General features: G+C 36.9%; 1 protein-coding gene across 4 annotated transcripts in view; it reads left to right on the top strand.

The window, feature by feature from the left end:
• The window catches only part of SUMF1 (sulfatase modifying factor 1), a 432784-nt gene that overhangs the window by 181001 nt on the left and 235806 nt on the right, over window positions 1–15977 (top strand). The window lies entirely within an intron of this gene.

Below are 15977 nucleotides of genomic sequence, written 5' to 3'. Positions count from 1 at the left end.
TTTATAGTATTTTTATTCTGATAATTTGTTTTTAATATTTTATTATAAATTTTTCCATTTATAAATGTTAAAAAGCTACATACTTATTACTTACACAAGAATTGTAGTGCACTGACAATAAAAACCAGAGAAAAAACTAAACAATTTGAAAATAGAGGTAACTATATAATTTAAGCATATAACAAATGAGTGATACTCTTAAGGAGTCTTGTAAAGAATGTGCAATACATTCTTACTGCATACTTTGCTCTGGGCCAAACAGGTGGATATTTCTGCAAGTATTTCTAATTTCTTGCTTGGTGGGGGACCTAGTTAGGATTTATTTGACAACATGCTCCGACTATTAGCTTGAATTAATGAATTTAAATTATAATTTATACTTTTAGTTAACTTTTTTTGCTTATTGCATTGCTATTATAGTGTTTATCCATTAGTATGGAAGTATTTCAACATTTTGGCAGTTGTGTGCATTTGGATGAATATATCAACTTTAACCTTTGTTATTGAAAGTATCATTCATCCCTCATACAGTACTGATCACTTAGCAAATATGAGGCATTATGAGGTACTGTATGAGGTGACAAATATGTGTAAGGCCCAAAATGCATCCTCAGAGAGCTTGTAATCTATTACATACCTATACAAGGAAATAGAATATATGGAAGAAAGTACTAAGTACTAGAGAAGAATTGTTAATATTACATACAAGTTGTATTCATGTAGAGAGATTAATCTTGTTTGGGAAATTTCATTGTCAAAGTTTAGGAATAACCATATACATTTTTTCCTTATAAGAATCATACATTCTCATTGTGAAAATTCATAAACTCTAGAGAGTCACAAAAAAAGAAAAATCACCTGTAGCTTTTTATGACCATTACCATCATTAATATTTTGGTATTTAGCTTTAGCCACTTTATTATTTTGAGTAGACTCTTCAGAAAAGTGCTTTGTAAAGATACTCATTCTAAGCATAGTCCTAGGAGTAATGCAAGTATTATATACAGCCCTTGCTATTAGTAATTTCGAAAGAGGAGATACTATTAAGTCAAACTACTTTAAGCATAAGTTATTTTATGGAGAATAGTGATTTGGCTATAGTTATGCCTATTATAATTATAATTGTACCCAAGAATTATGAAAGAGATAATGCAGCTGCCTTATTCGGTGGCTTAGAGACAGGAGAACAGCACTCATGGAATTCTAGGAATGTGATAGTTTCTACTGAGAAACAGAAGAAAGCCTCATCTTACTTGTGAGACGAAGATGATCAGCGGTTATTAGAGACTTTATTATAAATGGGGGTGAAAGCTTAGCAAATCTTCCATAAAGTAAGTTCATATCAAAGTTAACAGCTAAATCTTTGTATTGGAAGTAACATTTGATTACTAAGATATTCAGTTTACAGGAAAAATAATGTATTAAATAATCCCTTTATCTTAGCTTTTCTCATTTACAAGCACCACAGATAATCCCAAATAACAAATTACCCCCCATGCTTCTTTATATTTTGGGTTGGAATCTATGGTACTATTTTTTTTTTCAGGAGTTTTTTTGCCTTTCCTGATTTGAAGTAATTGTTGACGCTAGTGTGACTGCCTAGGAAGAGCCAGCTTAAAGACATTTTTGGTGGCAAGAAAATATCACACTGGAGTAAAATATATATCAAAGATAGTTTTTAAAGTGGATCAATCACATGTGGGAAATGCAGACTTGATGCCAGGGTCACCTGTAGCAGAATGGAAAAGCAAGGCAAGCCCCTTCTTTTGTACTTTCTCTCCTCCTCCTCCTCCTTCTCCTCCTCCTCCTCCTCCTCCTCCTCCTCCTTTCATTTTTTATTTACTTATTTTTTTTTTGGGACAGAGTCTCATTTTGTCATCCAGGCTGGAGTGCAGTTGCTTGATCACAGCTCACTGCAGCCTCAACCTCCCAGGGCTCAGGAAATCCTCCCACCTCAGCCCCCCGGGTAGCTGGCACTACTGGCACGTGCCACCATGCATGACTAATTTTTTTTTTTGTAGAAATGGGATTTTGCCATGTTGCCTAGGCTGGTCTTGTATTCCTGGGCTCAAGCTATCTGCCTGCCTCAGCTCCCAAAGTGCTAGCGTTCTAAGCATAAGCCTCTGCTCCTGGCCTCCCACCTTCTTTGTTAGCACTTCGCGTTCTTAGCTCCTCCTTGATATTTTCTCTAGGGTTCTTGCTATGGTCTGAATGTTTGTATCCTCCCAAAATTCATATGTTGAAATCCTAACCCCCAAGGTGATGATAATGGGGAGTGAGACATTTGGAAGATGATTAGGTGATGAGAGCAGATCTCTCGTGAATGGGACTAGGGCCCTTAAGAAAGAGGCCCCTGAGAGATCCCATACCTCTTCTACCATGTGAAGACACAGCAAAAAGGCACTGTCTTTTTGAAAGTGATCCCTTACCAGACGCCAAATATGCTGGCACCTTGATGGTGTACTCCCCAGCCTCCAGAACTGTGAAAAATTAATTTCTGTTCTTTATAAGCTACCCAGTCTACAGTATTCTATTATAGCAGCTTGAATGGACTAAGTCAATCCCTTTCTGGTGAATAACACCATCCTCTTAAGGTAGTGGCAAATACTTAGACTTCTATTATGCTTTTTTCCTTTATTAAAGCCTATATATACTGTTGGCCATTTTCTCTGTTACCATGTGGGAAAATAAGGCATGCACTGATCCCTCCAAAGGTATTCGTTACTTAGGTTATTGTAATTTGTTAATCTTTTGCTCTTATTTGAATTTTAACAAAGGGTTCCTGGAGTCAAAGCTTTAACCAAGAAAAGGCAAATACTTAATGAAATTTAATGAAATTTCACATGGGTTGGAGAACGTATTAATATTTGGAGACAGGCTAACATTAAGGACCCCTAAGTTTATCCCACAGACTGCCAAATAGTTCTAGTTGAACGTATAGTTCTTTTTTAACAACAATAAAAGGATGAAATGATACTTGTTTCTTTTAATACAAATGGGCATTTGAAAATTCCTTTTCACAAGGTTTTCTGTGCTTCATTGTTGCCTCTAGAAGTTGAAAGTGGGGGTGGTTTTCTTCAAGAGATTGGAACGAAAAGGAACAAACTTGTAGCAGGTTTGCAAGCCTTCTCTCCTTAGCTATTTCTCTATCTCTAAGAGTCTAAAGATCCTCAAGGGAGAGGCACCAAATGCAGGTCATCAATTCCATTCAGGTCCACAGTCTGAGCTCCTAAAATGGCATAATATGCAGTCTGAAAAAGAGAGGCAGTCATCTAATTCATTTTGTTCTCAGAGTAGAGAAGTGTAGTACATGATTACAGATTGAGCCTTTAGGAGAGCAATAAAAATAGCTCTGACAGCCATTTCCAATAAAAAAATAATTTTTCACTGAGCAGAGTAGTCAATCAATGAAGACATTTTTGGAGTTCTTGTTTGGTAGTATGTTTGGAGATATTAAGTCTCCAAAGGCAGTCATGGGAGAAAGGAACATGTGATTGACGCAGGACAAAAACAAGATACCTTCTTTTAAGAGAGTGTTTTATGACTTTTAAGTTTCAAAATAAGATTTTCTTTTAAAATCTTTCTCTAAATAAGAATTGACTGAGCAACAGTTCTCCCACTTTCCACTCTTGCGCTGGTATCGTTATTTTCACTGAAAGTGCCATTTAGTGTAAAAGGGTTGAAATTGTAATAACTGTGGTCTAAGAGCCATTCATGTTACCATAAGGATTTTTCCCCACTCGCAGTACCAAGTAGTTACTTCTTTGCTCTGATAAGGCAAGAATTAGGGAGTACAGAAATTGTAGAAGGTATGTGTGAATTGATTTTTATTCTAACTAATTATTGTAGAAATTAAGAAGAGCAGTGTATTAACTCCACATCCTTTCCCTCTGTATATTTCTTCCCTTTAAAAGGCAAAATTCAAAATTCTTAGTACTGTATTTTATTAGCAACCAGGTATTTCTTCTGGTAAAACTGCAATAAAGCTTTTTCCCTTGTATTCATCTGAATGTGATTTCTTTCTGCAGCTGGATAAGTACATTGATTTTATGTTTCATGGAGATTAGACGTTTAACAAAATGATAATAGGGATTACTGATTCTAATTTTTCCTACATTGTTACTGGATTTAACTGTCTTTTCAACCCACACAGAGTCTTTAAAGATGTTTTCTCTTTGCTCTAGACAACATTAAATGTATCACGATAATGACAAATCAGTCATGTTAAATAAAATTAAGGTTGTAAGTTTTTACCAAAAGACTTAAGCCAGCTTCTAAATACCTATACAATCTTCTTCATTCTGGCTTGTCTTTGCTATTTTACTGAATTTGTCTTTCTTTCTGAAATCTTTTTTGTTGTTTTTTTGAAGAGGAAGTATGTTCACATGGATTAAAAACTCAAAAGAATATAAAAATATGTGTTAAGGAGTCTCATTTCCACTCCTGTTCCCACTTTTCTTCTTCTTTCTGTACTCCTTCCACTCTACCCTCCAGGTAATAACTTTTATTGGTTTATTGTAAACTCTTCCAATTGTTTCATGTAAATACATATATTTATTTTCCTTTCCCCCTGTTTTTTCCCCCAAAAGTTTGTTTAATATGTAAATTATTCTAAACCTTTCTAATTGTTACTTCTTCTAATTATTTTCTCTCATCCCTGAACTGTAAACATCTCTCTGAGATTTTTTGGCTTTTTTGGTCAGGCAAGTCTCAGAGCGCTGGTTCTGCTACTTATTAAGTGTGTGGCCTTGGATTAAACTTGAGAATCTCAGTTACTTTACCTGTAAAAATGGAATTATCAATATCTATGGCATAGGATTGTTATGAGGACTAAATGAGGTAACTTACAGCTAGTAGCCAATGTGGATGATCAATATATCTCAGTTACTCTTTCCTTTTCTCTGGCTTTTTCTCTCTCTCTCACAGTGAAATCAACCCTCTCCACCATCCCTTCCCTGAATCAAAGCTATAATAACATCACAAAGAGTCTCCTTGTCTGTAATATAGCTCCTGTACATCTCTTCTTCACAGTGCAAGTAGAGTGGTCTTTCTGTGGCTTGTATCAGCTGCACAGAGGAGCTCCGTCAAAGGGCATGTTATACTCTTCACCATGCTCTTCTTATCTGTGCAGTTTCATTGTATATGGTTTTCTCCTCGCCCAGAAGTCCCAGTCCCTGCTTTTCCATTTGACAAGCTGTTATGGATTGATTTGTGGCCCCCCGACCCCCACTGTTACCCCACTCAAAGATGTTGAAGTCCTAACTCCTAGTACTTGTGAATGTGACCTTATTTGGAAATAGGGTCTTTGCAGGTGATCAGGTTAAGATGAAATTATTAGGATGGGCCCTAATCCAACATGACTGTGCCCTTATCAAAAAAAGAAGTTTGGACACAGAACACACACACACACACACACACACACACACACACACACACACACACACACACACACACGGTGAATGCCATTTGAAGATTGGAGTTATACTGCCATAATCCAAGGAACTACCAGACACTAGGAGGGAGGCCTGGAACAGGCTCTTCTCTAGCCACCCTCAGAGGGAACAGAGCCCAGCACGCACCTTGATGTTGGACTTCTAACCTCCAGAATAGTTAGACGGTAAATTTCTGTTGTTTAAACTTCTCAGTTTGTGGCGTGTTGTTAGGACAGCCCCAGGAAACTGATACGCAAACCTTTTAAATTTTCATCTCAAAGCTACCTTCTCTATAAAGCCTTCCTCTCACATAAGGGGTTCCTGCCTCTGTGTTTTTTTTTTCCTCTATTAGATTATCTGGCTTTATAAAAAAAATTTTAAGTCAAGGTACTTCAAGTTCAGTACCTCTAGACCGTGAGCTACTTGAAGAGAGCCATTGCACTTTTCATCTTTGAATTCCCAGTGGTCCACAACATACAGTATGCACCAAGCAAACCTAAGTTAAATGGAGTAGGCTAAAGCTTTTTAGGACCCCGGGGTGTTCTTGATTACATCTTTGGTTACATTTGTAGTGCATTTATAAAATGCCTCTTGGAATTTTTTAAAACATTTTAATTTTTAATTGACAAAAATTCTATATATTATGTACAACATGATGCTTTAAGATATGTATACATTGTGGAATGGCTTAAGAGAACTAATTAACATCTGTACTACCTCACATAACATCTTTTTTGTGTGTGGTAAGAACACTTAAAATCTACTGTCTTAGTGGTTTTCAAAACTGGAATTGTTGTCTTCTTACAGATGGCTAGTGTCATCTCTTATGTATATGTTTTTACTAAAGTTGAGTCACATCCTTTAAAGAATACAGCTTTAAGGATTCTTTAAAGTTAGCTTGACTATATAGCCAAAATTAAATTTAAAAATCTTTAAAAAGTGTCTCATAAGATATAGTACATGCAGTTTTTTGGTGTGTATGCCATCTGGTACACTAATTTTTATGCATCCTAAAGTTGATAATTTTAGGAAATGGGTTCCCTAAATAAAGCCAGGAACTGGGAAAAAGTGGTTCCATTTAAAAAATTATCTTCCAGCCTGCTGAGGTGGCATATGTAACTTGGTTCGTATTATGAGTCTCTTGTCAGAGTATAAACACAACATGGCTTTATTTTTTTTTTGCATTTATTGCTTCCAGCTCTGCTGTGATGAACCTTCACCTCCCACAGAGAATGCATTCCCAGCTCAATGGCATCTCCTCAGATTGGTTCTCATATAAGTTGGATCATAGCGCCTACTATTTGTAACTTGCTTCTCTACTTTCCAGTATATCTTGGAGAGAGTTGTGAATCAGCACACACTAAGCTACCTCATTCTTCATGGCTTTATACTATTTTGTTGTATGATTGTGTGTCATAATGTATTTAATTGTTGATGGGCATGCAGGCTGTTTTCATTCTTTTAGCTAGTAAAAACCCATATATGACTTCTTAGAGGCCCTTGATTGTTTTGTTTCTACATTGTGAGATTATAAATTGACAATAAAAGGTTAAAGGTATTTACATGATTTTCTTCACATATCTGACTTTTAATGAACTATTTTAGGTTACCATGACTTTCATATAGTACTTCAGTGTAATACTAATAATCTGTCAAATGAAGTGGCTGGTGTTAGACTAGAAATGTCTAACTTAGTCATGCAGGGTTGCATTAGAGCAATTCTTCTCAAACTACATGTGGCAAAAGTGTCAAGTTTTGTTTTGTTTAAAAAAAATTTTCCAATCCTTTGTAGACCAATACTTTTGTAAAATACAGTAAACACAAATTATCATAAAAATAAAATTAGAAATGCATACAAACTACAAAGCCTAGATGATAAACACAGAGCAGTGGTTCTTAAAGGGTACTCTGGTATCCTCAATCATTTGTCTGATGTAAAAGGCATGAAAAAATTTGAGAATAGCTACTATGGGGAATTTTTATTATTTTTAGAAGTTTTTATTGTTCCACCATTATAAATAAATACAATGTTAAAAGTGAACCCGGGGTTTCTTTTATTATATACCTATAACCCATTTTGAAAGAATACCATGTATATCAAGACTCACTGCCATCGATGTGACAAATAAGCTTGCTTTTTGCTTGTTAATTTATCTAATCTTGGTTCGACTGATGACAGTGCCACTTGAGGGAGATAACGTATGTCTAAACGGTTTCTGTTGTCTGTTTTAATAACACTCCTAGTAGAGAAACCAGTCTCATAGACGTATTTGATTGTTATATATGAAGAGATTTTTAGAAAAGTTTAGCAAGCTTAGGATGTTCTTTTTAAAATTTTGCTCAGAATTAAGCAAGTCATCCTGTATTTTCAAAATTCATCTTCAATTTTTTATCAGTAGTTAATTCTAACAATTTCTCCTTTAAAATTATAGCCAAATTTAAATGACCTTTCATTAAAGGTAATAGGTTTGAGATTAATGCATGTCCTATGATTTGATCTCCTTTAATGGAAAACAAAATTCAGAAGTTTCATCAAATTAATAAGGTAGTTGGTACAATATATCAAGATTATTACCTACTTCACTGATAATTATTGATAAATTATAGAACATGCCATAATATTTTTCCAAGGTTTTAAAATTTGCTTTTGTCCTTTGATCTCATATGCCATCCAAAAAGATGTTGCAGTCCTTTTGTTCTATTGAAATATTAAGAAAATAAACGTGCCAAAAATATCAGCCAAACAAATCTGGGTGTTCAATTAACATGTTAAAATACTTGGGACCAAACTCCTCTCTTGTGTTGTAGCGAAAAAAGAAATTCATTTTGTAGTTCAAACATTCTCTACATAATTTTTTCCTTTGATAACTGCTGTACTTTAACTGCATACATTTTTTTAATTGATGATGATAATTTGATGATAATGATAGTGATGATTAGATTACCACGTCAATACCTTAAAACTTTGGATGGGCCCTGTTTAAAGGTACTTGTGGAAATGGGAGACCCCAGAGGAAGCTCTTCCTAGGCTGTGGTGACCTCGTTATTGGCCTATTATTTAATGGAGGTACTCTAACACTGCTGATAGTGGTCTGTTGCAATCTGTCCATCCACAGATTATTATGCTGATTGAGAAAGTGTAATCCAGAAATGGAACATATAAAGTCATTCTCATTTATGCCAGTTCTTCTGAGCCTCCTAGATGTAAAGATTATAAACGTTTTTCATTTTGAGTTTAATTCAAGGTCCTACTGTGTCTATTTTCCCTCACTAATTTGCATAGCATCCCTGTCTTTCCTGTCTCCTGCTTCTTTTCCTCCAGTTCCCTCTGTTCTTCTTATTAGGTCTGGATCTCTCTATGTGATGTTAAGTTTTCCTCTAGTTGACCCTCATTTTCTTGTACTGTCCTGGGTAATCTTTCTCCTTTGATCCAAATAGTTGTAAGTGGTTTTTAATTTAATGTTAGACATATTATTTATATGTAATTATAATTTATGTTGATAAGGTAATGGAAAGAACACCAGGCTTTTGGGAAAGGAGACCTGGGTATTTTCATTTTGTCTTCATTCTTTATTTGAATTTTATTTTTCTCCTTTGTTAAATAATGTGATTAGACTATATCAATGGTTCCTAGACCTGCCTGTGCTTCAGAATACCTGATGAACTTGATAAAAATACAGACGTTCAGTTTGTTTAGGGATTGGGGGATTGGGAGTGAGGAGGATAGTTTATTAAGCAGGTTCCGCGTATAATAGACTGCCTAACAAGGTTTGGGAACCACTGGATTAGATTATCTCCAAAGTCTTCCAGATCTAAAATGATGTGTTTGATATTTTACCTCATCTTTCTTTCCTTTCCACCATCCCCATCTTCCCTCAGAACATCCTGAAGGCTGAAAGTGTGAACTTATTTAAGACAGTGGGAGATTATTGTGTCCAGATCTATATACTTATTTTGTCAAGGTTTTTAAACATTGCTGTATTTTACAAAATTATGGTTTAAATGACTAATAATAAAATGCACAGTATGGGAATTTACCTAGAAAATAAAAAGCCACTAAAGAAAGACATACATTACAGGCATAAAGCCTATGAAGCCATATTTGGAAAACAGGAAAACAAAAAGAAATACCGTAGCTTGTTGTTCCCAAGAACCATAGAAAATTTATGATATGGCACAATATGACTGATTCCTGGAATCAATTATATCTTGCAATAATAAATTGTGGGGTTGAGAAGGAACTGATAAATCATGTGCATTTTATAAAGGAAGGAATGAGGAGACCCCAAGAACTTAAGACCACCATCCAATGAGTGGTGGAGCTGGTGGTACAAATGATTTTCAAAGAAATAATTTCTTCTTTTAATGGAAACAAGGCTACTTCTACAACAGAGTATTGGAATATTCTGCTGATTTTTAATTACGCTCAAAACTTGTACTTTGTCATAGTAAAAGATAGTTATATTTTGAATATAACAAAGCATTTTGAGAAATCAGTTAAACATATTATGTCTTTTTAGGCTATTTCTTCATTTAAATCAACATGCATATTCATAATGTGCTGCCTTATAGCCTCAGTTTTAGGAAATGCAATAAATATTATTATCTGTCCATTCCCACAGCAGTTAATCATGCCTGTTGTCCCCTGTAAAATATCCCTTCAAATCTCTTATCAGAGAATGATGCTGGGCCATGGGGGTGGATTTCTGGACAATAAATTTCCCCAGGGAAGATGGAATCTGAGAAAAATTAATGTCTTGTGCTTGAACTCATGAACTTGGAACCACACAGATCAGGGCTTGAGTATTTTATTTCTTATGGATAGGTTAACCAGAACTACAGAGAAATGAAACTGATTTGGGAAATTAGCCTTCTAGGAGTTAAAAAAATATTTTTTAATGATCCAGGTTTTCTTAGGATTCTAGTATGTGAGCAGAAACAGGCCAATATGATTATTTTCTGCTACTGTTCTAAAGCTCGTGCTTCTGCTAGTTCTGACGCTTGTACCATAGTTGCTTGGCTAAGTGACATTTACTGACTTCAGCAATAGTGTCCTTATGTAGAGAACATTGTAGGTTACCTACTCAACTAACTTTTTGCTTTTGTCTTCTTCCCGAGAGAATTCTGATTTTGTCCAAACATCCATCTCTTCTCCCCAGAGCTAAGTACTTTGGGAGAAGTTGGCCTCATCCCCAGTTACAGCAGATAGGTCCTGAATAGACTAAGCTGGTGTTGACTATTCCAAAGGGATCACCAGTGATTGGTTTAGGAGTGACATGTGTCTTGTTCTGACAAATAAGATGTGAGGGAAGGTCTGCTGGGATGGAGGTGGGGAGTTCTGGGAAAGGTTTTCTTGGTCTTATGAAGAATGCACCAGAAGAGACCATCCCTCTTCTGCCTCTTGACATTGCCCTGTTGAATGTTATATCTGGAAGTAGTCCATTTTACTGCCATCCTAAGGATGAAGCCAACACAGAGGAGAGAACCCATATCACAGAGGGAAGTGGTGCCCCAATCATGCCAACTCTGCAATTTCTCTGCCTGTGAACATCTCATATTGTATATGAGACAATACATATTATTTCAACAAACTAAAACTGTGTTTAGAGCTGAAGTCGTTCTAACTACTTCATTTCTTGCTTCTATTATTCTACCACGATCAGGTCTTTTTCTAATTTCTCATAGCGCAACCAAGGGCAGACTATAAAGAAAAGAATGTACAGTCTGGAGGCTAATTTTCAACTGCTCAAAAACCCAGACCAACCCTAGGGTCTGTTCCTAGGTTTGGGAGACACGGAGATGCATCACAGAACACTTCTGATGGGTAATGCTTGCTCTGGAGATGCCCTCTGGTGTGATCAGGGCTTCATCAGGCCTGTTTGACATTTGGACTTTTTCCTTTGTCCAGTTCTGCTTCCTTGACCCTCCTTTCATTGGTGTTATTCCGTAATAAATATTTTGACCCTAAACACTGTCTTGACAGCTGCTTCTGCAGAATTCAACCTGTGATTCCAGACCAGCTTCCTATTACCTGGTCTAGTTTTTTCTGTCAGTCTAGATTTTTATGAATTTTCGTCTCCTAAGCAGGGTGACCAGAGAGAAGCTTTTTATTTCCAGAGATTCATTTTCAGCTGCAGGAAAAACTTCTTCCCAGGATGTTTTACAGTGGGATATTCAGTTTTTTCAGGGGAAAACCTATCCCTATTCATAGGGGCAGAGTCTGGCTGCCTAACTCCAAAAAGACAATTGCAAAGTAGTCTGATATTTTTGTATTATCTTGTTTATATAGTCTTACCTATGTTTATCTTATTACCATCCTGGCTGATTTCAGATGAATGGCTTAATCCTCTTAGCCTCTGCTTTCTTATTCATTAAATAAGAATAATGTCCCTCCACAGAATTGTAGTTAGACTAAGTGACATAATATATAACAAGTACAGTGCCGAATATAGTATGCTTTCAGTAGAGCTTAGATACCTAGGTCTTTTCCCTCCCCATCCTCACTTCTCCCTTTGCCCCCTACAAATTTAGTTTCTTGGTGAAATTGGGTAAAAGTGAACATCAAGGGCAATCTTGAAAAGGGAAGTTGGTCAAACATGGTATTATTATTAAGCCTAGGTATATGTGTAGAAGGGAGGAAGAATAGTTTTGTCAGACTGATGAAGATGGAGATTTTAGACATACATTGAAAGTGTATATCTTAGAGTGGTTTGTTTGTTTGTTTGTTTTTAGTATGACTGGGCAGTCTCCTACCAGCTGCTTTAGGGAGGTAACTATCATACTGTTTATGGGCCCTGTTTATATTGAGTTTTCCCCAAAGTGAATTTAGATGCTAAACATTGAGGTCCAGGGACCTGCTGATATGACGTATTCTGACAGATGCAGACTAGGCTATTATTTTAACCCCATATCCTATGTTTAGATTAAAAAAAAGAAACAACACTGATCAGAGTCGGCCACCAGGAACATCATGACCTGCCCTGCCTTCCCATGCCCTCCCTTGCCATGCCCTCCCCTCCCATGCCCTCCCCTCCCATGCCCTCCCCTCCCGTATCCTCCCCTCCCGTATCCTCCCCTCCCGTATCCTCCCTCCCGTATCCTCCCTCCCGTATCCTCCCTCCCGTATCCTCCCTCCCGTATCCTCCCTCCCTTCCTTCTTTCTGCTTTATTGAGTATAATTTACTTAATGTAAAATTTACTCATTTTAAGTATATAGTTAAAAGATTTTTAGTACATTCACAGAGTGGTGCCATCACAATTCAATGTTGGAACATTTCTATGATCTCCAAAGATTGCTCATGACATTTTCAGTCATCCTCTGTTTCCGCCTTCAGCCTCAGGCAGTCGTTGATCTACTTTCTGTTTCTATAGATATTTTTCTAGACATTTCATATAAATGGAATCATATAATATGTAGTCTGTTGCTTTAGGGTTTTAAAGCATATTTTGAAGTTCATTCATGTTGTAGCATGTATCAGTACTTTGTTCCTTTTTATTGCCAAATACTATTTCATTCTATAGGCATAACACATTTTGTTTGTCCATTCACAAATTGATAGAACTTGGAATGTTTCCATTTTTTGCCCATTATGAAAAATGCTATTATGAACATTCCTGTGTATGTGTTTGTGTGGACAAACATGTTTTTACTTCTCTTCCATCTAGGAGTGGAATTACTGGACCATATGGTAAATTCTATATATATATATATGTGTGTGTATATATATATGTATATATATATGTGTGTATATATATTTATATATATGTATATATTTTGGAGACAGAGCCTCACTCTGTCACCCAGGCTGGAGTTGCAGTGGCATGATCATAGCTCACAGTAGCCTCGAATTCCTCCTGCCTTGGCCTCCTGTGTAGCCAGGACTACAGGTGCGTAACACGATGCCTCGCTAATTTTTAAACTTTTCTGTAGAGATGCTGTCTGGCTATATTGCCCAGGTTGGTCTCAAACTCCTGGCCTCAAGTGATCCTCCTACTTTGGGCTCCCACAGTGCTGGGATTACAAGTATGAGCCACAGTACTTGGCCCATATGGTAAATTTAATTTTTAAAGAAACTGCCAAATTGCTTTCCACCGTGGCTGCATCATTTCGTATATTTATTACCTTTGATTTTTGTAATCATTGCAAGATTAGTTACACTTTTTGCCACTGTGTTTTTTAAGAAACAGTTATTAACGGCAGTATAGAATAATTATGTAGCAGACACTGTGATGCCACACCCAGGTTCTCCCTCAGGTCTGAAAGGTCTGCTCCTCCCGCTTCCAGGTCTGCTGCTACCTGATAGTTTCCTTGTGTCAGCCCCCGTCAGAAACTGTTCTTAGAGGAAGAGTCACCTTGCTCAGGGTCATAGCTCCTTGTCCAGGGCCATGGACAGCCTGTATCCAACGGCTGGTTGATGTGAGGATGTGAAGGCCTAGTCTTCTTGTCCCAACTCAGAACAATTCCGAAGGTCCAGCCAGTTTCAGAATTCTCTGTCGGGTCGATTAAAGCCCTTGTTGGAACCACATTACAGCCCAGCCTCTGCGTTTTCCTCCAGTCCGCCAGAGAAAGGGTTGATCCCGAGCTTTTCCTAATGTTTCCTGCACAGTATTGTTCATCTCTCAGGAAACCAACCTTGAAAACAACAAATCGCTATCTTTTAAATATTACAGATTACATTTACACTTGCCTTATTAAGTAGATTTCCCTACTGGCAAGAATCAAGAATATTTTCTTGAAACCTGAAGCCAAATTCCAGTCCGGGTCAGGAAATCAGCTTCTGTTATCTCAGTATCTACCAAGAGAGGGCAGTCATGTAGTGAGATAAAGAAGAATTTAATTATGACAGAGATTCCCAGCACTTTGTTCTTAAGAAAAAATATTTTTTCTTGGCTTATCTTACATCAACCAGAGGCTATGTAGGAATAGTCTTCATTTGCGTGCTCTAAGAGAAGCAGAATTCCGAGGAACTCCTTTTTAGGGACACTTCTGAGCACAAGCTATGATTTTAGTTTTTAATTAATGTTTAAATTGATGGCATAGACCAGGTTGGCTCATTCTTGTAATCCCAGCACTTTGGGAGACCAAGGTAGGAGGATAGCTTGAGGCTAGGAGTTTGAGAGTAGCCTGGGCAACAGAGTGAGACCCCTGTCTCTACAAAATAAAATTAATTAGCTGGGCATGCTGGCATGCTCCTGGAGTCCCAGCTACTTGGGAGACTGAGGCGGGAGAATCACTTGAGCCTGGGATTTCAAGACTGCAGTGAGATGCCATCACGCCACTGCATTCCAGCCTGGGCAATGTTGAGATCCTCTCTGTATCTATCTATCTATCTATCTATCTATCTATCTATCTATCTATCTATCTATCTATAGATAGTATAAAACATTTGAATAGAGTAGATTTTTAAACATTCAGTCAAGGATACCTCATGAAATCAGAGAATGTTAGACTCCAGAGTTTATCTGGCTTGACCTCCTTATTTGGTAGGTAAAAATATATGGTGCATAAGACATGGAGTGGTTGGCCCAAGAACACCAAGGAGAAACAAGTCTGAAATTTGGTCAAATGCCTTTTTATTATACCTTGCTCCTTTTCTTGTATTTTAGGACTTTGGTTATTTCTAGTTTTTCAGGAGTTAAAAACTTTTCCTCATAAAGAAAATCACTGTTGAGATCCTGATGAAATGTGATTGGTGGTGGGTATTAGCACAATCGATCAGACTGACTATAGCACTTTCAGTGACTTTGAGTTTGATGTATTCTAGGACTTAGTTTTTATCCTTTGCGTTTCAGTTATTTCTAATACTACCATTAACAAACGTTTGTGAGACATGTAAGTATTCAGACTTAAGTGTTTTCTCTTTGTTGCCTTCACAAATAGCATACTGCAGTCAGAGCTAATTGACCAGTTTCCGTTTTACATGATTTGGTTTCACTTTGTGGTCTCTAAAACTCTTCTCCTGGGTGAAATGCTATTTAAGAATACCAAGCCCTTTAGGGAAGTTCCTAACAAAGTGAAAACCAAATAACCATTCCCTTCATCTTTGTTAATATCAATATTAAATTACCTAACTTTTTTGCTTGGCAAAGCCAGGAAATATCCCATTCCAGACCTGATTAATTTTTAATACCAGTTATACTTAGGGAGCACCCCACATGCTGGTATCCTTTGTTGAAATCTGAGGCAAAGTTTAATGCTATTTTTTGACGACCTTCTTCTTCCCATAAATTGAAGTTCCCCTTACACTCAATTCCTTTTGTCTCTGTAAATATATACCCTTGTTATGGCAGAATCCTTAAGAATTAGGAGTTGTAATTATAAATTCATTGCTTATTAAATGATTTAAGCTTTCTATTTACCTGTATCCTTTGAATTTAAGTGGGTGGTGTGTGTGTGCGTGTATGTGTGTGAGAGAGAGAGAGAGAGAAAGAGAGAGAGAGCAAAGAGAGAAGAGAAGTGAAAATAAGGGAAGGGAAAGGAAGAGAGAAGAAGGAAGAGACTTTCCCTCTCTTGATCTCCCTGTTTGTTTTCTTGCAGATGGAGAC

This window comes from Homo sapiens, chromosome 3 (assembly GCF_000001405.40).
Source record: "Homo sapiens chromosome 3, GRCh38.p14 Primary Assembly".
NCBI lineage: Eukaryota > Metazoa > Chordata > Mammalia > Primates > Hominidae > Homo > Homo sapiens.
Note: the sequence above shows the minus strand (reverse complement) of the source record. Positions and strands in the feature narration are given on the sequence as shown.